The sequence below is a fragment of the Homo sapiens genome, chromosome 7, assembly GCF_000001405.40.
Source record: "Homo sapiens chromosome 7, GRCh38.p14 Primary Assembly".
Lineage (NCBI taxonomy): Eukaryota > Metazoa > Chordata > Mammalia > Primates > Hominidae > Homo > Homo sapiens.
In genome coordinates, this window is record NC_000007.14 from 125,172,035 (window position 1) to 125,197,789 (window position 25,755).

General features: G+C 36.5%; 1 long non-coding RNA gene across 1 annotated transcript in view; it reads left to right on the forward strand.

The window, feature by feature from the left end:
- Window positions 1–12,534: 12,534 nt before the first annotated feature.
- The window catches only part of LOC101928283 (uncharacterized), a 194,753-nt gene continuing 181,532 nt past the window's right edge, over window positions 12,535–25,755 (forward strand). Inside the window, exons 1-3 of the long non-coding RNA NR_110188.1 lie at window positions 12,535–12,579; window positions 14,010–14,458; window positions 22,914–23,050. This is a non-coding gene — a long non-coding RNA (uncharacterized LOC101928283). The remainder of the gene's footprint in view (window positions 12,580–14,009; window positions 14,459–22,913; window positions 23,051–25,755) is intronic.

Consider the following 25,755-nt stretch of genomic DNA (forward strand, 5'->3'; position numbering starts at 1 on the left):
ATCCAGCACAGTCATGCCTTGAGTTTATGTAGACACCCCTGAACGTCATGCAGCGATAAGTCTTTGAACTGGATGTATTGATAGGAATCTCAATCTTATCTCTAAGAATTTCATATCTTATATCTTTCTTAGAATGCTTCCTCAAGTTACATTTCTCTAATTTTTCTTAGGTACATGTGCAAGGAATATATGAAAAAGAAGTAAGTGCAACCTATAAATATAAATAAGTATATGATTAATATGATGAATTAAATCATGTCTTCAACTGGCAATTTTTTTTTTTTTTTGAGATGGAGTTTCACCCTTGTTGCCCAGGCTGGAGTGCAATGGCACGATCTTGGTTCACTGCAACCTCCGCCTCTCGGGTTCAAGTGATTCTCCTGCCTCAGCCTCCCGAGTAGCTGGGATTACAGGCATGCACCACAATGCCTGGCTAATTTTGTATTTTTAGTAGAGACAGGATTTTTTCATGTTGGTCAGGGTGGTCTCGAACTCCCGACCTCAGGTGATCTGCCGGCCTCAGCCTCCCAAAGTGGTGGGATTACAGGTGTGAGCCGTCACACCCGGCCTCAACATGCAATTTTTAAATGCAAGTGTTGATCACAAAAAGCAGTTGAATAATCTACGTATTAAAATGAAAAGCAATTCAGTCGTTACAAATAAATTATTCTTGCACCAAGTTGCATTTCTATTCTTGGCATAATAAAAAGAGAGATAAGAAGATATCCAATGATATTACTTTCCATCCTTGCCCCTATTGATCATAGTTCATTGATTCCCAATGCAAATGGTACCTCTATGTTCCCCCACAGGTGTGTAGGAGGACCTGGCTTTCCAAACTTAGGAATGGATTGTCTGTCATTTAAATCACATTTGAAATGGTGCAGGAGAGTCTTTCTCTTTAAAAATTTTCTTTGTGATGTTACAAATCCCCACTTAGTTTGTTGGTTAAATTACATTTCTAATAATTGATTTTTAAAGTGGCACTAACCTGTATATAAATAATTTAAGGGCTTTATCAACCTACTTTGATTGGCTGAGCCTCAATGTTGATTTCAAGCAATAATAGTACATAGTGGTCAAAATAGGGATATGGACTATGACTGGCAGAGTTAATGTCCCAATTCCATCATTCACTACCTGGATGAGCTTGAACTAGTTACTGAAATAGTCTGCATATTAGATTTTTCACCTACAAAATGTGCAGACTCTTATTAACTACTTATATGGTTTTGAAGATTAAATAAGTTATTGTATATAAAATTGCTTAGAAAATGTCTGTGATGCACTAAATGCTACACAAGTGTTTGCAGTTTTTATTACTTAGGAACATTTTTGTTCAATGTAAAAGAATTCTTTTCCACACAATAATCTTAGTTTGCATGTGGACAATTAAAATGCTTACATGAATTAGATTATCTAGAACACATTAAATGTAGTAATGAATGTCTCTACAAAAGGCATTCTAAAATGTACTTTCAAAAATCTTGTATTTGTTTAAAAATTCTTGTAAAGAAGCTTAAACTAAAATGTAATAAATGCATTTCTTACTGCCATTCTTATATTGGTTAGGGGTGACTAACCAATTGTTCATGTTTCAGTCAGGAAAGGCCTTGTAATGCTGCAATAAGAAAGAGCCTTCTTTTATTTCTTGTTTCCAGTGTTCTCTGTGGATCTGGGCAATCACCTTCTATATGGCTACTCAGTAATGCTGACTCACGGAGAAACTGAATGTTCAGCCTCTTTGGTCAGTGGAAGAGAAAATAGAGTATCACACTTGCGTCAGCTTTTCAGTGACACAAATCACTTGTGCTCTCACCTCATTATTGAAACATGATTCATATGGACCTGCCTAATGAATTAACATTTTTCATATGGCTCTTCCTGTGCATTACTTGCAAGGAAGATGGGTAATGAGAGAAGGACAGGGTTTATTTGCTGACCATTGTATCTCTGACTTAGTCTGACTTTCCATCTTCCAAATATATCTTTGCTCCCTTCTTTCACAACATGGGATCTTTCCTCAAGGGAGACAACCAACAAAGTTAAATAGGAAAAAAGGACTTTATTTGAAGCTATAGAAGAAGGAATATATGGACACTGGCTTGATGATTGTATTTTTTAAACAGATTTTTGTGGGGGAAAAGAACAGTGATAATGAAAAACATCACAGAGAAGGTGTGAATGGGGAGAAAGAAAAGTAAGAATATTTATAGCAGATTCAGATATATATTCCCGTGGAAAATGAGAATAATGCAAAGTCTAAACCAGCATATCTTTTTTGATACTCCTATTGTGCACCCTCTTTAAAAGAATATTTGCATTACACTCAAGCAAACTCTTCTATAAGAGATTTTCATTAGGGAAGACAGAGAATGATGAAGTTGAATATAGCTTGGTGGCTCTTGTGTGATAGAACTTTTGAGAAATGGATATTCAAACACTTCTTTCTACTCACTGAATAGTAATGGCAAACATGACTAAAACCTTAAAATTTTTAGACTGTTAAATGCCTTACAATGAAAAATGCATGTAAAAATCCTACCTTCTCCCTTGGAAGGCATTTTATTTGGTTAAAAAAAATCCCAACTGATTATGTGCCTGGGCAATGATTTTTATAGATTAGCTTTAACAGAGTATCTGCAATATTAGATGTTATTACCACCATGCCAAAGTATTTAATAGCTTCTTTGCCTAGCTATGGAATCTGTCCTATAATGTGGGGAGATAGAGTGGGTGCTTTCCTCCTAAGATCCTCCTAAGATCTTAGGAGGTGCTTTCCTCCTAAGATCAGAGTGGGTGCTTTCCTCCTTTAGATCCCTAAAGACAGGAATATCCACTTTGGCCGCTTCTAATCAACACTGTAATAAAAATTCTATCCAGAGCAATTAGAAAAAAAAGAAAACAGAAAAAGAACTTAAAAGTATCCATAATGGAAAGGAAAAAGTAAAACTACCTCTATTGACAGATAACATGACTTTGTGTATAGACCTTGTGTATTGATGGGTAACATGACTTTGTGTATTGAACTGGTGTATTGACAGATAAAATGACTTTGTGTATAGACCTTGTGTATTGACGGATAACATGACCTTGGAACCCACATCCCCCAAAATACTATTAAAATAGTAAGTGAGTTAAGCAACTTTGCAAGATACAAGATCAATATAAAGTCCATTTTATTTCTATATACTAGCAATTAACAATCAGAAAATAAAATTAAGAAAACGATTCTGTTTACAAAAACATAAAAATACTTAGGAATAAATTTAACAAAGTCATGAAAATTTTTACACTGAAAACTAGAAAACTGAAAAATTTAAGAAGTTCTAAGGAAATGGAATGGCATAGATCCTTGATACCATAGATCCTCAGTATTATTAAGATGGGTATTTTCTCTAAATCAATCTGCTAATTGAATATGATCACTAACAGCATTCTGGCTGGCTCCATGCAGAAACTGCTGATCTAATAATCACATATGTATGAAAATGCAAGTAATACAGAATCAGCCATATTTCAGCTCAATATCATTTGTCATTAGGAAACTGCAAATCAAAACTACAATAAAATGCCACTTTATACCTATAAAGATCATCATCATAATAATAAAATAGACAACATGTGTTAGCAAGGATGTGGAGTCAAGGGAATCCTTATACATTGATGGTGGGAATGCAAAATGATTCAACTGCTTTGGAATAGAGTTTGGTAGTTTCTCAAAATATTAAATATAGAGGTATTATATGCTCCAGCAATTCTATTTCTAGGTATATAGCCATGAAAAGTGAAAACATGTTCATACAATAACTTACATGCAACTGTTCAGAGCAGCACTATTCATAATAGCCTAAAGTTAAAAACAATACTAAATGTCCATCGAATGGTGAATGGATAAACAAAAGATAGCATATCCAAACATTGCTGTACTTACTATTCAGCCATGCAAAGGAATAGAGTGCTGAAACATGCTACAGTGTGGATGAACCTTGAAAACATTATGCTAACATGCTAAGTGAAATAATCCATCTATAAAAGATCACATATTTTGTGGTTTTATTTATATAAAAGGCTATATCAGGCAGGACAGGGAGTGGCCGCTGATTGATACACAATTTTCATTTTTGGAGTGATGAAAATGTTCTAAAATTAGTTTGTTGTAATGGTTGCAAAACTGTGAATATACTGAAACCACTTAAGTACATATTTTAATGGGTAAACCATATAGTATGTTAAGTATGTCTCAATAAGGCTATTAAAGAAAGAAAAGTAGCTAGTTTTTGTTACCCATTCATTAGGCATTTTGATGCTTAGTACTTTTTTATTCTATGTTAATTAATTTTAAGTTCCAGGGTACATGTGCAGGATGTGCAGGTTTGTTACATAGGTAAACGTGCTACCGTGATTTGTGACACCTATCAATCCATCACCTTGGTATTAAGCCCAGCATGCATTAGGTGTTTTTCCTGATGTTCTTCCTCCCAGAGCCCTGACAGGCCCAAGTGTGTGTTGCTCCCCACGGTGTCTCCATGTGTTCTCATTGTCCAGCTCCCACTTATAAGTGAGAACATGTGGTGTTTGGTTTTCTGTTCCTGTATTAGTTTGCTGAGGATAATGGCTTTCAGCTCCACCTGTGTCCCAGCAAAGAATAAAATCTTATTCTTTATTATGGCTGCATAGTATTCCATGTATATATGTACTATATTTTCTTTATCCAGTCTATCATTGATGGGCATTTGGGTTGATTCCATGTCTTTGCTATTGTGAATAGTGCTGCAGTGAACATACATGTGCATGTAACTTTGTAATAGAATGATTTTTATTTCTTTGGGTATATAACCAGTAATGGAATTGCTAGGTCAAATAGTATTTCTCTCTTTAGGTCTCTGAGGAATTTCCATGCTGTCTTCCACAATGGTTAAACTAATTTGCATTCCCTGTAACAGTGTAAAAGCGTTCCTGTTTCTCTGAAGCCTTGCCAGCATCTGTCGTTTCTTGACTTTTTAATAATCACCCTTCTGACTGGCGTGAGATGATATCACATTGTGATTTTGATTTGCATTTCTCTACTGATCGGTGATGTTGAGCTTTCTTCCATATGTTTGTTGGCTGAAGGTATGTCTTCTTTTTAAAAGTGTCTGTTCATGTGCTTTGCCCACGTTTTAATGGGGTTGTTTTTTTCTTGTAGATTTGTTTAAGTTCCTGGTAGATTCTGAATATTAGACCTTTGTCAGATGGATAGACTGAAAAAATTTTCTCCCATTCTGTAGGCTGTGTCTTCATTCTGATGATAGTTTCTTTCACTGTGCAGAAGCTCTTTAGTTTAATTAGATCCCATTTGTCAGTTTTTGCTTTTGTTGCAACGGCTTTTGATGTTTTCACTATGAAATCGTTGCCCATGCCTATGTCCTGAATGGTATTGCCTAGATTTTCTTCTAGGGTTTTTATGGTTTGGGGTTTTACATTTCAGTCTTTAATTCATCTTGAGTTAATTTTTATATAAGTTGTAAGGAAGGAGTCCAGTTTCAATTTTTCACAAATGCTTAGTCAGTTCTCCAAGCACCATTTATTAAATACGGAATCCTTTCCCCATTGCTTGTTTTTTTCAGGTTGTCTTTGCAAATGACACAATCCTGTATCTAGAAAACTCCATTGTATCAGCCCAAAAGCTTCTTAAGCAACTTCAGCAAAGTCTCAGGATACAAAATCAATGTGGAAAATCGCAGGCATTGCTGTACACCAACAACAGACAAGCAGAGAGCCAAATCATGAATGAACTCCCATTCACAATTACTGCAAAGAGAGTAAGATACCTAGGAATACAGCTAGCAAGGGAAGTGAAGGACCTCTTCAAGGAGAACTACAAACTACTGCTTAGGAAAATCAGAGAGGACACAAACAAATGGAAAAAAATTCCATGCTCATGGATAGGAAGAATCAATATCATAAAAATGGCCATACTGACCAAAGTAATTTATAGATTCAATGCTATTCCCATAAAATTACTGATGCTTAGCACTTTTGAGTGACTAGACCAACTAGCTTCATTAAACATGATGTTTTTTGAAAACATATTAAGTGTGAGCATTACTAGCAACATAGTGGTAGAAAAGAAAATTGAACCAATGAATGGCTAATACTGACATATTCAGTAGTAACAATAAAACAATAAAAGTGACTCTATTTTAGCCCTTTGTTTTGCAGTGGAAAACACTGAAGTTGTGGCATATGAAAAAGGTGCTTTTCAATTGCGACAAAAGCAAAAATTGACAAATGGGATCTAATTAAACTAAATAGCTTCTGCACAGCAAAAGAAACTATCAACTGAGTAAACAGACAACTTACAGAATGGGAGATAATTTTTGCAAACTATATGTGTGACAAAGGTCTAATATCCAGCAGCTATAAGGAACTTAAACAAATTTACAAGAAAAAAGCAACCCCTAAAAATGTGGGCAAAGGACATGAACAGATACTTTTCAAAATAGACATACATGTGGCCAAAAATCATATGAAAAAGAGCTCAATATCACTGATCATTAGAGAAATGTAAATTAAAACTGCAATGAGACATCATCTCACACCAGTCAGAATGGCTATTATTAAAAAGTTAAAAAATAATAGGTGCTGGCAAGTTGTTGAGAAAGAGGAATGCTTATTCATCATTGGTGGGAGTGTAAATTAGTTTAGTCATTGTGGAAGACAGTGTGGCAATTCCTCAAAGACCTAAAGACAGAAATACCATTTGACCCAGCAGTCTTATTACTGGGTATATACCTAAAGGAATACAATCATTCTATTATAAAGACACATGCCACATATATGTTCCTTGCAGCACTATACACAATAGCAAAGTTATGGAATCAACCTAAATGTCCATCAATGACAGACTAGATAAAGAAAATGTGGTACATATACACCATGGAATACTATGCAGCCATTAAGAACAAGATTATGTCCTGTGCCAAGATATGGATGGAACTGGGGGACATTAATCTTAGAAAACTAACACAGAAAAAGAAAACCAAATACTGCATGTTCTCATAAGTGGGAGCTAAATCATGAGAACACATGGACACATAGAGGGGAGTAACACACATTAGGTCCTTTTGGAGGGTGGAAGTTAGGAGCAGGGAGAGGGTCAGGAAAAATAACTAATGGGTACTAGCTTAATACCTCAGTGATTAAATAATCTGTACAACAAAACCCCGTGACACGAGTTAACCTATGTAACAAACCTGCATTTGTACCCCTAAACTTAAAATAAAAGTTAAAAAAGGTGCTTTCTTTATTAAATATTTTTCTTCTTGCAAGTAAATTATGTCTTTTACAGTGACAATGTTTGTAAGCTAGCATCGTTAAATATATTCTTCCAATTTTTAATTGTTCATTTTGTTCCTTATGCCCAGAGATGCACAAAGCCAGAAAATTTTGTAGAAATTAGTTGAAAATGTAAAGTTATCTGAAAATTATAGCCTATTTTAGTAGTTGAAAGTAAAACAAAAATATGTTTTTTTCCCATTAATATGGAATCAGTTAATGTGTGGGAGTCTAAGTCTCTTTGTAGGTCACTCAGGACTTGCTTTATGAATCTGGGTGCTCCTGTATTGGGTGCATATATATTTAGGATAGTTCGCTCTTCTTGTTGAATTGATCCCTTTACCATTATGTAATGGCCTTCTTTGTCTCTTTTGATCTTTGTTGGTTTAAAGTCTGTTTTATCAGAGACTAGGATTGCAACCCCTGCCTTTTTTTGTTTTCCATTTGCTTGGTAGATCTTCCTCCATCCTTTTATTTTGAGCCTATGTGTGTCTCTGCACATGAGATGGGTTTCCTGAATACAGCACACTGATGGGTCTTGACTCTTTATCCAATTTGCCAGTCTGTGTCTTTTAATTGGAGCATTTAGTCCATTTACATTTAAAGTTAATATTGTTATGTGTGAATTTGATCCTGTCATTATGATGTTAGCTGGTGATTTTGCTCGTTAGTTGATGCCGTTTCTTCCTAGTCTCGATGGTCTTTACATTTTGGCATGATTTTGCAGCGGCTGGTACCGGTTGTTCCTTTCCATGTTTAGTGCTTCCTTCAGGAGCTCTTTTAGGGCAGGCCTGGTGGTGACAAAATCTCTCAGCATTTGCTTGTCTGTGAAGTATTTTATTTCTCCTTCACTTATGAAGCTTAGTTTGGCTGGATATGAAATTCTGGGTTGCAAATTCTTTTCTTTAAGAATGTTGAATATTGGCCCCCACTCTCTTCTGGCTTGTAGGGTTTCTGCCGAGAGATCCGCTGTTAGTCTGATGGGCTTCCCTTTGAGGGTAACCCGACCTTTCTCTCTGGCTGCCCTTAACATTTTTTCCTTCATTTCAACTTTGGTGAATCTGATAATTATGTGTCTTGGAGTTGCTCTTCTCGAGGAGTATCTTTGTGGCGTTCTCTGTATTTCCTGAATCTGAACATTGGCCTGCCTTGCTAGACTGGGGAAGTTCTCCTGGATAATATCCTGCAGAGTGTTTTCCAACTTGGTTCCATTCTCCCCGTCACTTTCAGGTACACCAATCAGACGTAGATTTGATCTTTTCACATAGTCCCATATTTCTTGGAGGCTTTGCTCATTTCTTTTTTTCTTTTTTCTCTAAACTTCCCTTCTCGCTTCATTTCATTCATTTCATCTTCCATTGCTGACACCCTTTCTTCCAGTTGATCGCATCGGCTCCTGAGGCTTCTGCATTCTTCACGTAGCTCTCGAGCCTTGGTTTTCAGCTCCATCAGCTCCTTTAAGCACTTCTCTGTATCGGTTATTCTAGTTATACATTATTCTAAATTTTTTTCAAAGTTTTCAACTTCTTTGCCTTTGGTTTGAATGTCCTCCTGTAGCTCAGAGTAATTTGATCGTCTGAAGCCTTCTTCTCTCAGCTCGTCAAAGTCATTCTCCATCCAGCTTTGTTCCGTTGCTGGTGAGGAACTGTGTTCCTTTGGAGGAGGAGAGGCGCTCTGCGTTTTAGAGTTTCCAGTTTTTCTGTTCTGTTTTTCCCCCATCTTTGTGATTTTATCTACTTTTGGTCTTTGATGATGGTGATGTACAGATGGGTTTTCGGTGTGGATGTCCTTTCTGTTTGTTAGTTTTCCTTCTAACAGACAGGACCCTCAGCTGCAGGTCTGTTGGAATACCCTGCCGTGTGAGGTGTCAGTGTGCCCCTGCTGGGGGGTGCCTCCCAGTTAGGCTGCTCGGGGGTCAGGGGTCAGGGACTCACTTGAGGAGGCAGTCTGCCCGTTCTCAGATCTCCAGCTGCGTGCTGGGAGAACTACTGCTCTCTTCAAAGCTGTCAGACAGGGACACTTAAGTCTGCAGAGGTTACTGCTGTCTTTTTGTTTGTCTGTGCCCTGCCCCCAGAGGTGGAGCCCACAGAGGCAGGCAGGCCTCCTTGAGCTGTGGTGGGCTCCACCCAGTTCGAGCTTCCCGGCTGCTTTGTTTACCTAAGCAAGCCTGAGCAATGGCGGGCGCCCCTCCCCCAGCCTCGCTGCCGCCTTGCAGTTTGATCTCAGACTGCTGTGCTAGCAATCAGCAAGACTCCGTGGGCGTAGGACCCTCCAAGCCAGGTGTGGGACATAACCTTGTGGTGCGCCGTTTTTTAAGCCGGTCTGAAACGTGCAATATTCGGGTGGGAGTGACCCGATTTTCCAGGTGCGTCCATCACCCCTTTCTTTGACTCGGAAAGGGAACTCCCTGACCCCTTGCGCTTCCCAGGTGAGGCAATGCCTCGCCCTGCTTCGGCTCGCGCACGGTGCTTGCACCCACTGGCCTGCGCCCACTGTCTGGCACTCCCTAGTGAGATGAACCCGGTACCTCAGATGGAAATGCAGAAATCACCCGTCTTCTGTGTCGCTCACGCTGGGAGCTGTAGACCGGAGCTGTTCCTATTCGGCCATCTTGGCTCCTCCCCGGCATAGTCTTGAAGCTCCCTGCCTAGAGGCTGTCTTTTCCAGGAGCTATACCTCTGCTTCACACAGGTAACTGAAATTCTGAAGTGACATAAGCACACCAGGGCAGGAAATGAAGGGGAGGGCTGTGTATCAGACTATGGGTGGGGCAAATCTCAGCCTTCTGGATCATCTGGAGGTACTCATTGGGAGACAACTACAGCAGGTGGCAGAGGATGCGCTAAGTAAGTATACAATTTTACTGCACGTCATAAAAAAAGACTGAACTAAAGAGACAGATATTACATGTCTCTTGATGAGAATAAGACATTGTAAAAGTATAAATTAATTGCCCCACAAATATATGTGTGTAAGTCAATTGCAAATAAAATCTTTATTTTTTTCAATTAAAATTTAAAATTTCTATGGAAAAAAATGAGTGAAAGTAACCAGAAACATTTTTAAAAAAGAAAAAAAAGAGGTTCTTGCCTATCAGACATTAAAATGTACATTAAAATTATAACAGTCAAATTAATGTAATGCTGATCCCAACATAAGAATATCCCACAGCATAGTGTTTGAATAAAATAATAATTAAAAATTTATCTTTGTTAATTTCTGGGTAGTGAAGCTGCAGGTTGTTTTTTTCCCTTGCTTCTTTATACTTTTCTGTAATCTAAGAAGTTTTACAATAAACAAGCATTATCTTTACAATAAAACATGAATATATTTTTATTCAATTGATAAAGAATTAATAGAGAATTAAAGATATTAAGTGTATATAAGTTTACATAAAGAAAATTATAGATATATTCAAATAAGTAAAAATATAATAGATATGACTATAGTATTTAAAAATTTTATCAGAAAACAAAAGGTAAATCACAAGTTGGAAAACAGTGTTAATATTAACTCCCAGAGAGTACTAACACATAATTTAAAATCAGCAATACCAATGAAAACAGGTAGATAATATGTACAGGAATTTCAAAGAAAGAAGAAATAGAAATGGGCAATAAAGATATAAAAGATGTACTTAGTTTACTGAATTAAAAAAATTGCAAAGTAGAGCAACACTGAAGCACTATATTTTTGTTTATCATACCCATTAGATTAAAAGAAATAGTGATATCTAATAAAAAAGGAAATGGATACTCTACTTCATGGCCTGTGTGAGTTTAATTAATGTAAACTCTGGGTTAGCATTTAAAAATGAATCTCAAAACCTAAAAATGTGCTTATCCTTTGATCAAGTAAATTCACTTTTAATATTATATTTAAAAAATTGGATCAGTAAGCAAAAATATATGTACAAACATGTATATGACAGTTATATTTAACACTCTTGGAATTTAGTATCAACCTAATGTATAACTATACAGGATTATCTCATAATGTTATACTTCATTCAAAGAATATTATGCAGCAAGTTAAAATGATGCTATAAACAGAGAGGTTCATTCTAGTTTCCCTACAAGTCAATCCCATTCATGCCAGGCACATTAATTGTCTCTGGCTGAGGAGAAAAGCACTGAACTAGGTTTAATGTAAAAATGAGGTAAATGATGAATTGAGGACTAGTGAAAGCCAAATGGTATCACACTGACCTATCAGTGAAAGTTTAGTAATAGTTCAAGTAAAGAAAAATTCTCAGGGCATGGTGGAGGGTAGTTGATCACAACAACGTAAGCAAAAGAAACTCAAGAGAACATGAGATGAATAGTTAGCTGTGACCAGCCATCACATGTATGTTCATTTTGATGGTATTACACTATTTTTTGTGCTTAATTTATAAGCCAGTTTAAATTCATTTTTGTTTGAGTGCTGTAAGCAATTTTATATTGGACTTATATGCATTCATATATTTAAAATACAATAATAAAATAATTTTCTTCAACTATTGGTGAATCCTTTATATTTTATTTTATCTTACTGGGGCCGGTATATTACTAAAGTTTGAAAGGCATTAAATTCTCTTATAAATAGCACTATTTTATCCTAATTTTGGAACTGGATGTCTCATCTTCCCACAGTCTGAAGCATGAATTCCAAGTTCTCTGTAAATTCCAAAACTAAAATGAAGAGCTTGAGTAGGGCCCAAAACAAAGGTGGTGAAAAGATTGCATTTAGGCTAATCTGAGGGGGTTATGTCTGTGCTTGAGAAACATTTTGACAATCACTGTATTTTACAAGAATGGCTTTCTAAATATTTTGAGTAGATTTTCCATTAATTTACAAATATGTATGTGTGTATGTATATAATTATATAACCTGGGAAAATTACTAGGATAAATCCATACATCTATACTACTTTAAAGTTGGAAGTTGGAAATACCACTGAATTATTTTTGTGGATAAGTCAAGGTAAAGAGCCAACGTGAATTATGTCAGGGCCTCAGGATATTCTAGAAGTAAGCAAGGCCATTATGTACAGTTGTGCAGAGTGTATCCTACACAATGCTAGTGATCATCCTTCATCTCGCTTATGCTAGAAGTATGTCTCTTGTGGTTAAAAAAATGCATAGACACCTTGATTAGACATATCATTTTTATCACAGGATAGACTGTTTTCATTTTAAATTTTTCATAAATAATGTAATGTTTTTTTTACAGTGTTATACTGGAGGACTTTCTCTTTGGAATTGCTGTGCAAATAAGGTGAACTTTTAGCTCCAAAAATCAAACCCATTCAGATTAGTTTTAATTTATAGTCACTTTATACCTATACTGGTGTGAGTAGTACAACAGAGGTGAATTTCAATTGTAATATGAGCTGATAACAAAGTCAGGGCATCAGGGTGACAAATTCTACTGGTACTTTTCACAAATTATCTCATTTAATTTGAATCCTCACAAAAATTGTGATTGTCAGAGAAATTGGGTGACTTGTCAAAGTTAGTTTAAATAACAGGTCAGTCTAGCCATAAAGCATGTGATTTTGCCACTTTGACACACTGTCAAAAAAAGACCGTCTTCATGCTAGTAAAAAGCTCAGGACATTTTAGTTTAAGAATGAATAACAAATATTCATGATTAACCTGCAATGACTCATGAACCCTCAGAGCCTGTGTTAGCATAATGAAATTAATCTTTCAAAATTGTTTTTTTTCTTCTTTGTAGACCCATACAGTCATCTTGTGGAAAAAAAATTCTGGCAAAGTTTGGATCTTCACAATGCACATTCTATTTCACCCCAAAATTATTAATGATGTTTCTCAATGCTACCCTACTAATTATGCTTCAGAGCATTTAGAGATTATTATAAAGTATACCATATTTGGTCTGTTAATGTCTGTGGTGTGATTAAAGCACTGTAAATTCATGTATCTGAAACTCAGTGGCTATTATCCTCCCTAACCTTTGGGGAATTTCTAAACTTTGCTGATTTCACTCTGTTAAAGGCAAAGTAGTCATTTGTATCTGAATGTAGAAAGTTTGAGTACTAAGAAGAATTATTCTAGATGACATCATAAAAGTGAATTATATTAAAAGTAAATTATATAAGCTTGCTAATTTTATTTATATTATATTTATAAATATAAGTATGTTTATAAAATATGTATTTTATTTATATTATATTAAAGGTAAAGGCAAATTATATTATGTAAGCTTGCTAATAATTATGTTTATATTTATAAATATAATAAATATATTTATAAAACATGTATTTTATTTATATTATATTAAAGGTAAATTATATAAGCTTGCTAATAATTTTATTTATAAACAGATGGACTAGAATAAAAGTTATAAGCATACCATTACTACAAACAACAGAAGTCAAGAAGGCTAATCACAGATGCAGTATATCTATTATTCTTAGAATATAGGGCTCTTGCTAATTCTGATACAATTGAATTAAGAATATTTAGTTTATAGATATTAAAGATGGCAAGATATTTACTGCACATTTTAAGTCCAGAGCAACATTATTTTATTAAGTTACATTTTAAAATATTAACTGAGGCATTTAACAAAAGGATCAGGCTCTTTAATGGTTTTACAAGTGATATTCTTAGGTTAACAGACCTTGTTCATTTTTCAGTTATTCCACTTATTGAACAAAAATTTATTGTACATTTGTACAGGTCACTGGGTAATAGGATGTAAAGAGGAGTTCTCAAAACAACCTCACAGACCCAGAATAATCAAAACAATTGAAGACTTAACTTCAATTTCAAAACTTACCACAGAGCAAGAGTAATCAAGACAGTATGGTACTTCCCTAAGGACAAACATATATGAATGAAAGAGAAACCAGATTTTGGAAATTTTAAAGAGTGTCAAGACCATTCAGCAAGGAATGAATAGTCTTTTCAACAAATTGTGAGACAATAGATATTCACATGCAAAAAATGTACCTGGACTCCTACCTCACGCCATATAAAAATATTAACTCAAAATGGATTATAGGGAGGAAGTGGAGGAAGATGACCAGAAAAAACCTTCCAGTGATTATCCCTAACTTGCCCTGCAGGAAGACCAAATTGAACAACTATCCACAAAGGAAAGCACCATCATATGAGGCAAAAATCAGGTAAGTAATCACAGTACTGAGTTTTAATATTATAGCAAGAAAAGAGGCACTGAAGAAGGGAGGAAAGACAGTCTTGATTTGCTGACACCACCACTCCCCCATCTACCGGCAGAGGCCATGTGGCACAGAGAGAGAATCTCTGTGCTTGGGGGAGAGAGAGCACAGTGATTGTGGGAGATTGTGTCAGAACTCAGTGCTGACTGTCACAGTGGAAAGCAACACGGGGCACCCACAAAGGGAGCATTTAGACCAGCTTTAGCCAGAGGGAAATTGTCCATTCCAGCAGTCAGAACCTGATTTCTAGATAGACCAGCCACCACAGGTTAAGGCTCTCTGGGCTTACTAAATAAACCTGAAAGACAGTCTAGGCCATGAGGACTGTAATTCCTAGGCAAGTCCTAGTCCTGTGTTGAGCTTGGAGCCTGTGGACTTGGGGTGCATGACACCTAGTGAGACACCAGCTGGGATGGCCAAGGGAGTGCTTGCAACACCTTTCCCCCAATGCTAGGCAGCACAGCTTGCAACTCTGGGAGAGTCCCTTTCCTTCTGCTTGAGGAAAGGAGAGAATAAAAAGGACTTTGTCTTGCAATTTGGAAACCAGCTTAGACACAATAGAATAGGGCACCAGGCAGATTCCTGAGGCCTCCATTCCAGGACAATTCCCAGGCAACATTTCTAGTCATACCATGGACCATAAGGTAATCTGCTACCTTGAAGGGAAGGACCTCTTGTCCTAAGAGAACTCATCACCTGCTGACTAAAGAGTGCTTGGGTCTTGGATAAACACCAGTAGTAGCAAGGCAGTATTTGTCATGGGCCTTGGGTGAGGCCCAGAGCCATGCAAGCATCACATGTGACCCAGGACATTTCTGGCTGTGGTAACCACAGAGAGAGACTCTTTCCGCAGGAGGAAAGTAGGGGGAAGAGCAAAGGAGACTTTGTCTTGCAGCTTGGGTACCATCTCAGCCACAGTGTGGAAGAGTACCAAGTTGGCTCTTGGGGTCCCTGATTCCAGGCCTGGTCTCCTAGACAGCATTTCTGAACCTACCCTGAGCCAGAGGGGAGCCAGAGGGGAGCCCTCTTCAGTGTCCTGAAGAGGGAGACCCAGATCTGAAAACGTTTACCACTAGCTGATGGACAAGCCCTTGGGCCTTCTGGGAACATTGGTGGTAGTCAGGCAGTATTCACCATGGGCCTGGTGGGTGGAAGTGGGGGGATGGTTACCTATGGGAAGAGACTTCTTCTGCTTGAGGAAAGGGGAGGGAAAAGTGGGAAACACTTTGTCTTGTGGCTTGGGTGCCAGCTCAATTGCAGTAGAATAGAGCACAAAGCACATCCTTAAGCTTCCCAACTCCAGGCACTGGCTCCCAGATGGCATTTTTGGACCCATGTGGACTGAGTGGGGGTTGAAATTACCACCCTGAAGGGAAGAGGGTAAGCCTGGCTAGATTCTCCCCATTCTGACTAAAGAGCCCTTGGGCTTTAAGTAAACATCAAGGATAAGAAAAAAGTGGTCACCATGTACATTGGGTGAGACCCAGTGCTGTGCTGGCTTCAGGTCTGATCCAGCACAGTCCTAGTGGTGATAGCCACAGAGGTACTTGTGTCACCTCTGTCCCAGCTCTGGACAACCAGCAGGAGTGTTAGATTTCATTTGCTGGGGAAAGTAAGGAAAGAGAATCAGAGTGTCTGCCTGATAATCGAGGGAATTCTCTCAGATCTTACCTAAGACCTCCAAGGTAGTACCTCTAAGAGTCTACAAGACTCATGGTGTTACTGGGCTTGGGATGTCCCCTAATGCAAATATACCTTCGGTGAGCACTTAGATCACAACACCCAATACCCTTTGAATACTTGGAAAGCATTCCCAAGAAAGATGGAAACAAAGAAGCCCAGACTCTGAAGACTACAATAAATACATAATTCTTCAATGCCCAGACATTGATTGATATCTACAAGCATCAAGACCATCCAGGTAAACATGATCTCAACAAATGAACTAAATACAGCACAAGTGGTCAACCCCAGAGTGACAGAGATATGTGACCTTTCAGACAAAGAATTCAAAAAAGCTATTTTGAAGAAGCTCAACAAAATTCAAACTAACACAGAGAAGGGATTCAGAATCCTATCAGATTATTTCAACAGAGGGATTGAAATAATTAGAAATATTAAAAAGAAATTATGGAGCTGAAAAATTCAATTGAGATGCTGAAAGATGCATCAGAGTCTCTCAATAGCAGAATTGATCAAGTACAATTGATCAAGTAGAATAAAGAATTAGTGAGTTTGAAAAAAGGCTATTTGAAAATACACAATCAGAGAAAATAAAAGAAAAAAGTATGAAAAAGAATAAGCATGACTATAAGATCTAGAAAATAGCCTCAAAAGAACAAATCTAAAAGTTATTGGCCTTAAAGAGAATGTAGATAGAGACAGTGGGGCAGCAAGTATATTCAAAGTCGTAACAGAGAGCTTTCCAAATCTAGAGAATAATGCCAATATTCAAGTTAAAGAAGGTTGTAAAACACCAAGCAGATTTAGCCCAAATAAGTCTACCTCCAGACAATTAATAATTAAACTCTCAAAGATGAAAGACAAAGAAAGGATTATAAAAGTGGTAAGAGGAAAGAAAAAACATGCAAAGAAGGTCCAATATGTCTGTCAGCCAATTTTTCACTGGAAACCGTACAGGCTAGGAGTAAGTGGTGTGATATATTTAAAGTGCTGAAGGAAAAAACTCTTATCCTTGAATAGCATATCCACTGAAAATATCCTCCAAACATTTTTCCCAAGCAAACAAAGCTGAGAAATTTCATCAATACTAGACCTGTCCTACAAGAAATGCTACAGGGAGTTCTTCAATCTAAAAGATGAGAATGTTAATGAGCAATAAGAAATCATCTGAAGGTACAAAATTCTCTGGTAATAGTAAGTACACAGACAAACACAGAATATTATAACAATGTACTTGTGGTGTATAAACTACTCATACCTGGAGTAGAAAGACTAAAATATGAATCTATCAAAAATAATAACTACATAATTTTTAAGACACAGGCAGGATACTGAGATAGAAATAGCAAAAAGTTAAAAAGCGGGAGAGGGATGAAGTTAAAGTGCAGATTTTTAAAAATTCGTTTTTCCTTGCCTGTTTGTTTTTGCAATCAGTGTTAAGCTGCCATTGGTATAAAATAATGGGTTGTTATTTGCAAGCCTCATGGTAACCTCAAATAAAAAAACCTACAATAGAAACACAAAAAATAAAAAGATATTAAAACATACACCAGAGAAAATTACCTTCAAAAAAGAAGACAGGAAGGAAAGACGGGAGGAAGAGAAGGCCACACAACATTCATAAAACAAATAACAATATGGCAAGAGTTAGTCTTTACTTATCAATAACTTTGAATGTAACTAAACTAAACTCTCCAATAAAAAGCCATAGTGTAACTGAATGGATAAAAAAAACAACAACACACAATCTGTTGGCTACAGGAAACACACTTCACTTATGAAGACACACATAGATAGAAAATAAAGGGATGGAAAAGATATCCCATGCAAATGGAAGCCAAAAAAAGAAGAAATAGTTATACCAGATAAAATAGATTTCAAGATAATAGCTATAAAAAGAGAAAAAGAAGGTCATGATATAATGATAAAGGGGTCAATTCAACAAGTGGATGAAATGTAGATATATATGCACCCATCACTGAAAAACCTAGATATATAAGGCAAATATTATTGGAGGTAAAGAGAGAGATAGACCCTAATACAATAATAACTGGAGACTTCACCACTGTTCTTTCAGCATTGAACAGATCTCCCAGACAGAAAATCAACAAAGAAACATTGGATTTAATCTACACTCTAGACCAAATGGGCTTAATAGATATTTGCAGAACATTTTAGCCAATGGTTGCAGAATACATGTTCTTCTTCTCAGCATATGCATTATTATTAAGGATAGATCATATATTAAGTCACAAAACAAATCTGAAAAACTTTAAAAAAAATCAAATTATATCAAATATTTTCTCCAACCACAGTGGAAAAAAACTAGGATTCAATAACAAGAGGAACTTTGGAAACTATACAAACACACGGAAATTAAACAATGTACACCTGAGTAGCCAGTGGGTTAATAAAAAAATTACGAAGGAAATTTAAAAATTTATTGAAACAAAAGGAAATGGAAACATAATATACAAAATCTGTGGAACAGAGTAAAAGCAATAGTAAAAGTGTATAGCTACAAAAGCCTACATCAAAACATTAAAAAACTTAAACAATCTAACAATGCATCTTAAAGAATTAGAAAAGCAAGAGGAAAGCAAACCCACAATTAGAAGAAAATAAATAATGAAAATTGCAACAGAAATAAATGACAAAAAATAAAAAACCCAAAAGATCAACAAAATGGAAAAGTCGTTTTTTTGAAAACACAAACAAAATCAACAAATTTCTAACCAGCTACTAAGATTACAACATGAAGAAATCTAAAACCTGAAGAGATCTATAGAAAGTAATGAGAAGAAAGCTGCACTATAAAGTCTCCTAGCAAAGAAAAGTCTAGAATCCAATGGCTTCACTTTAGAATTTTACCAAACACTTAAAGAAAAACTACCAACCATACTCAAGTTAATCTAAAAAATAGAAAAGGGGAGACTATTTCCAAACTCATTCTACAATGCCAGTATTACTCTGATATCAAAACCAAAGGCACAACAAAAAAAGAAAACTACTAGCCAATATATCTGATAAACACTGATGGAAAAAAACTCAACAAAATGTTAGAAAATTGAGTTCAACAACACACATTAAAAATATTATTCATCAAGACCAAGTGGGATTTTTCCCAGGGATGCAAGAATGGTTCAACAAACACAAATCAATCAACATGATACATCGTATCAACAGAACGAGGCCTAAAACTATGTGACCATTAAAATAGATGCTGAAAAAGCATCTAATAAAATTCAACACCCCTTCATGATAAAAACCCTCAAAAAACTGTGCATACAAGAAACTTACCTTAACACAATAAAAGCCATATATGACAGACTCACAGCTAATGTCATACTGAATGGGAAAAAAATGAAAGACTTTCCTCTACAATCTAGAACAAGACAAGGATGCCCACTTTCACCCTGTTGTTTAACACAATACTGAAAGTACTATTGCTAGCTGGAGCAATCAGACAAGAGAAAAAAATAAAGGATATTCAAATTGGAAAAGAAGAAGTCAAATTATCCTGGTTTGCAGATGGTATAATCTTATATTTGAAAGAAACATAGAGAATCCACAAAAATTGATAGAATTGATAAACAAATTCAGTAAAATTTCAGGAAAAAATATCAACATACAAAAATCAGTAGCATTTCTGCATACCAACAGTGAACACTCTGAAAAAGAGATCAAGAAAGTAATCCTATTTACAATAGCTACAAATAAAATAAAATACTTACAAATCAAACAAAAAGTGAAAGATCTCTAGGATGAAAACTATAAAATATTTATGTAATAAATTGAAGATAACACAAAAAAAGTTGAAAGATACTCTTTGTTCATGGACTGAAAAAAATTAGTATTGTTAAAATTTTCATACTACCCAAAGCAAGCTACAGGTTCAATACAATCTCTATCAAAATACTAAGGACATTCATCACAGAAATAAAAAATAAATGATCCTAGAATTTACATGGAACCACAAAAGACCCAGAAATAACAAAGCCATCCTGTGCAAAATGAACAAAACTGAAGGAATCACATTCCTGACTTTGAATTACACTATAGAACTATAGTAACCAAAATCACATGGTATTGGCATAGATCAATGAAATAGAATTGGAGATCCCAGAAATAAATCCATACAGAAAAGTGAAACTACACCTCTATCTTTCACCATGTACAAAAATCAAATAAAAATGGATTAAAGACTTAAGTCTAAGACATGAAACTATGAAACTACTAAAAGAAAATAAGTTTTGCTTTTCTGCCACAGAGTCTCAGCCAGCATCATTATCTGGAGGCTTATGACATGCGTAATTCATAGACATGAATTCCAACTGATATGGTTTGTCTGTGTCCTCGCCCAAATCTCATCTTGAATTATAGTTCCCATAATCCCCATGCGTCATGGGAGGGACCTGGTGTGAGGTAATGGAATCATGGGTCCAGTTACACCATGCTGATCTCATGATAGTGAATAAGTTCTCATGACATCTAATGGTTGTATAAGGGGCTTTTCCCACTTTGCTCGGTACATCTCTCTCCTGCTGCCATGTGAAGAAGGACATGTTTGCTTTCCCTTCTTTGATGATTTTAAGTTTCCTGAGCTCTCCCCAACCATCCAGAACTGTGAGTCAATTAAACCTCTTTCTTTTATAAATTACCCAGACTCAGATGTGTCTTTATTAGCAGCATGAGAATGAACAAATAGAATAAATTGGTACTGAGGAAGTGGGGCACAGCTATAAGGATACCTGAAAATGTGGAAGTGACTTTGGAACTAAGTAACCAGCAGAGGCTGGAACAGTTTGGAGGGCTCAGAAGAAGATAGGAAAATGTGGGAAAGTTGGGAACTTCCTAGAGACTTGGTGAATGGCTATAACCAAAATGCTAACAGTGACATGGACAATGAAGTCCAGGCTGACATGGTCTCAGAGGGACACGAAGAACTTGTTGAAAACTGGAGTAAAGGTGACTCTTGCTATGCTTTAGCAAAGAGACTGTTGGCATTTTGTCCTGCCCTAGAAATCTGTGGAACTTTGAACTTGAGAGAGATAATTTAGAATGTCTGGCAGAAGAAATTTATAAGCAGCAAAGCATTTAAGAGGAAGCAGAGCATAAAAGTTTGGAAGATTTGCAGCTTGATGATGTGATAGAAAAGAAAAACCCATTTTCTGGGGAGAAATTCAAGCCAGCTGCATAAATTTGCATAAGTAATGAGGATCCCAATGTTAATTGCCAAGACAACGGGGAAAATGCTTCTAGGCATGTCAGAGACCTTCATGACAGCCCCTCCCACCACAGACTCGGAGACCTAGGAGGGAAAAATTGTTTCTTGGGCTGTGTCCAGAGTCCCCCTGATCTGTGCAGCCTCAGGACATGGTGCCCTGTGTCCCAACTGCTCCAGCCATGGCTAAAATGGGCCAAGGTACAGCTCAGGCCATTGCCTCAGAGGGTGCAAGCCCCAAGCCTTGGCATCTTCCATGTGGTGTTAGGCCTGTTGGTACACAGAAGACAAGAATTGAGGTTAGGGAACCTCCACCTAGATTTCAGAGGATGTATGGGAATGCCTGAATGTCCAGGCAAAAGTCTGTTGCAGGGGCAGAGCCCTCAGGGTAAACCTCTGCTAGGGCAGTGTGGAAGGGAAATGTGGGGTTGGAGCCCTCAGAGTCCCCACTGGGGCACTGCTTACTGGAGTTGTGAGAAAGGGCCACCATTCTCCAGACCCCAGAATTATAGACCGACTGACAGCTTGCACTGTGAGTTTGGAAAAGCCATGGACACTCAACACCAAACATAAAAGCAGCCAGGATGGGGACTGCACCTTGCAAAGCCACAGGTGTGGAGCTTCCCAAGGCTGTGGGAGCCCACTACTTGCATCAGTGTGACCTGGATGCGAGACATGGAGACAAAGGAGATTTTGGAACCGTAAGTTTTAATGACTGCCTTATTGGATTTTGGACTTGTATGGGACCTGTAGCCCATCAGTTTGGGCCAATTTCTCCCATTTGGAATGAGTGTATTTACCCAATGCCTGTATCCCCATTGTATCTAGGAAGTAACTAACTTGCTTTCAATTTTACAGGTGCATAGGTGGAACGGACTTGCCTTTGTCACAGATGAGACTTTGGACTGGGACTTTTGGGTTAATGCTAGAATGAGCTAAGACTTTGGGGAACTGTTGGAAAGACATGATTGTGTTTTGAAATGTGAGGACATGAAATTTGGGAGGGGCCAGGGGCAGAATGATACTGTTTGGCTGTGTCCCCACCAAAATTTTGTCTTGAATTCTAGTTGCCATAATCTCCACATGTTGTGGGAGGGACCTGATGGGAGGTAATTGAATCACGGGGGTGGGGAGTTATCCCCATGCTATTTTGAGTGAGTTCTCACAAGATCTGATGGCTTTATAAGGGGCTTTCCCCCCTTTTCCCAGCACTACTCTCTCCTGCCTCCATGTGAAGAAGGAAGTGTTTGCTTCTCCTTCCACCACGATTGTACATTTCCTGAGTCCTCCCCAGCCATGTGGAACTGTGAGTCAATTGAACCTCTTTATAAATTAATCAGTCTCAGTTATTTCTTCATAGCATCACAAGCATAGTGTCTGAAAGGACAACCAGTTTGCAGCACAAGAGGTACAAAAATGAGCCTAAAACTGAATACTTATTTCAAATATTCAAAACGACTATTTCCAGTAGAAATTTCTCTCTTTATCTTTCAGATATGTCCTGAGAGTTTCTGAAGTTATTTAACTGGTTCAATGAGAATTTAATCAAGGTCTGCTTTATATCAAAATTTATGATTTTTATTCAATGCCATACATAGAATTTGTTCACAGTTATCATCAAACACACTCATGTAAGTAAATTCTATTAGAAAAACATGTTCTTCGGTGGTCAGAATATTCTGGGACTTTAGGTTAAAATGTATAAATGTCAAAGTTGCAACTCAGGTTGCTATTTTTTATTTTTAACAGGCATATGCATAGTCCTACTTCTTTTCATTGAGTCATTTTTGTTGGTTTAACTTTTAAATAGTATATACATTTTTCCTCTGGAACAGTTCTTGGCTAGTTTGACAGCCTTGGCAGTGTTTTCTGGGTGAGAAGTAGTTTATAGCACTGCCTTTTAATAGTGAGAACCAAATGAACAGCATATCTAGGCAGTGAATAATCTTAGCACATAGCACTCAAATGACACGCAGTCTGAGGAAAATGTGTAGGAGAAACTAAGTCTTACAGGGCTCCACAGCTCAGAGATAAAAACATAGAACATTTGAGATTGTACAAAACTTTCTAGTGTATGGTGATTATTGAGTGTTTGTGAATGGTTATGTAGCAGATGTGTAAATAAATGTATCTTGTTGAGTAGAAGATGTCACAGAAGAGAATTCATGAAAATGAAAGCCACAGGCATTGCAAAAAATGAAATGATTTAACTCTTATATTTGTCTATGGATAGTATTATCATAATTATACACAATTAGATCTGATGTTCTGAAATACTCTTCAAGAACAATTTAAAACATCACACTAGATGTCCAGAGGTTATCAACTAGAAGCCTGTTGACAGGTTATTAGAAACACATTGTTTGACAATTTCTATTTGATTGGCTATAGTCAGGATACATATTCTCCCACCTGCTGTAGTTCTCACCAATTGCTATTGTATTAAATAAAACATGTTTTATTCATTTATTAATATCTTCTGCCTGGTCTGTGAATACAGCTGAGTATGTTTGGTTCAGTAACCTTGGCATTTCAATGTAATGCCATTTTATTTGATTTTTTAATTCGTTTTTCCTCTATAGAAACAAATGTATGTAATTAGACTGACACATAATATGAGCAGAGCTCCTTTGTCTCTTAATTAGTAGTCTTTTCAGTTAATATATCTTTGAACAAGGTAAGCCAATTGCATTAACTGTTTAGTATTCTCCCAGCCTGGCTATGAAAACTTTGGTATATATGATATACTTTTGAAATGCATGCATATTCAAAAATTTATTTTAAAAGTTTATAGAAAATAATGTTAAGCAGAACATAAAACAGGTTTTAAGATTATAGATAAAATTATTTTCTTTTCATAATATATGATGTCAAAATTATTAGTAGGAACTATTTTAAAATGTCAGCAATGGTTATATGATGATTATCTCTATATTTCGCTACTTTCTTGATTATCTTTGGAGACCAGGTTGAGTAAAAAAGAAAGATCATTTTGCATAAACAAATAGAAAAATATTTATTCCATAAAAATGTAGAATGAAGGCGGTATTAAGAGAATTTTTTAAATTGTAAAGATAGCTCAAAAGGCTATGAAAGCTAGGCTTCTGGCTAAATAAGGTAGAGATAAGCCATAATTTCTATGTTTTTATCTATGTATATTCTACTTGCAAATAGTAAAGAATTGGCTATGCCTCTTCTGGAGAGTAGATCAACTATTGAGCTGTGAGGGCTTCTCACCTGCATAGTACACGGACTTGGGGAAAATTCACTCTTCAGTGGCACTGTTACTTACAGCTGTGCTCTCTGTCTCATCAGGGACTAGAATGTAAACAAATAGCTTTTCCATGATGTCATTCTAAAATTATTGACATAGAAAATACTCTGCAATATTTTAATACACTTTGTAAGGGGCATATCATAAATTAGAAGGGTCAAAAATTAATCATAGAGTCAAAGAGAAATTAGAGTATTATGATATTTCAGAAATGATACAATTGTCAACATTTCCATTGAGTATGTTAGGATACGTTAAAAAGCAAGTAGGACCCTTATTTTTTCAGTCCTTGAAATTTTTGTATTTTTTCCTATTCTAAAATACAAATAAAATCATTATCTGATGACTGAAATTAATTACATCTTTTACTTTTTTTTTTTTTTTTTTTGAGACCGAGTCTCGCTTCATCACCTAGGCAGGAGTGCAGTGGTTTGATCTCTGCTCACTGCAACCTCCACCTTCTGGGTTCAAGCGATTCTCATGTCTCAGCCTCCTGAGTAGCTGGGACTACAGACATTTGCCACCATGCCCTCCCAATATTTTTTATTAGTTTTATTTATTTTTTCATTTTTGGTAGAGACGGGGTTTCCCCATGTTGGCCACGCTGGTCTAGTACTCCTGGCCTCAAGCTATCCCACCTGCCTTGGCCTCTCAAAGTGCTGGGATTACAGGTGTGAGCCACTGCCGCCAGCCACATCTTTTACTCTTTAATGTATGAATGCAAATGAAACATGTAAATATATTTTGATGACACAATATGGAAGAGAAATTATATACTTCATTAAAAAAGTACTAATATAAAAAAAATTCCTAATGAAATGATTTTGCTTTCTCAGTCATTAGTGAAAATAATTAGTGAGCAGAGAAATATAACACCCTCTTCTTTGGGTTGATTTTCATACCCCCATGAAAAGATTGAAGTCTCTCCAGTGTGATCAGCCTCACAGTTTGAGAAACACTGTCCCAGTTAGACAGAAAATCAGATAATTGCAAGAACAATTTGCAATCCCCAGGTGATTTCGAAAACAGAAGTAGACTGGAAGATATATTATTATGTAAAGT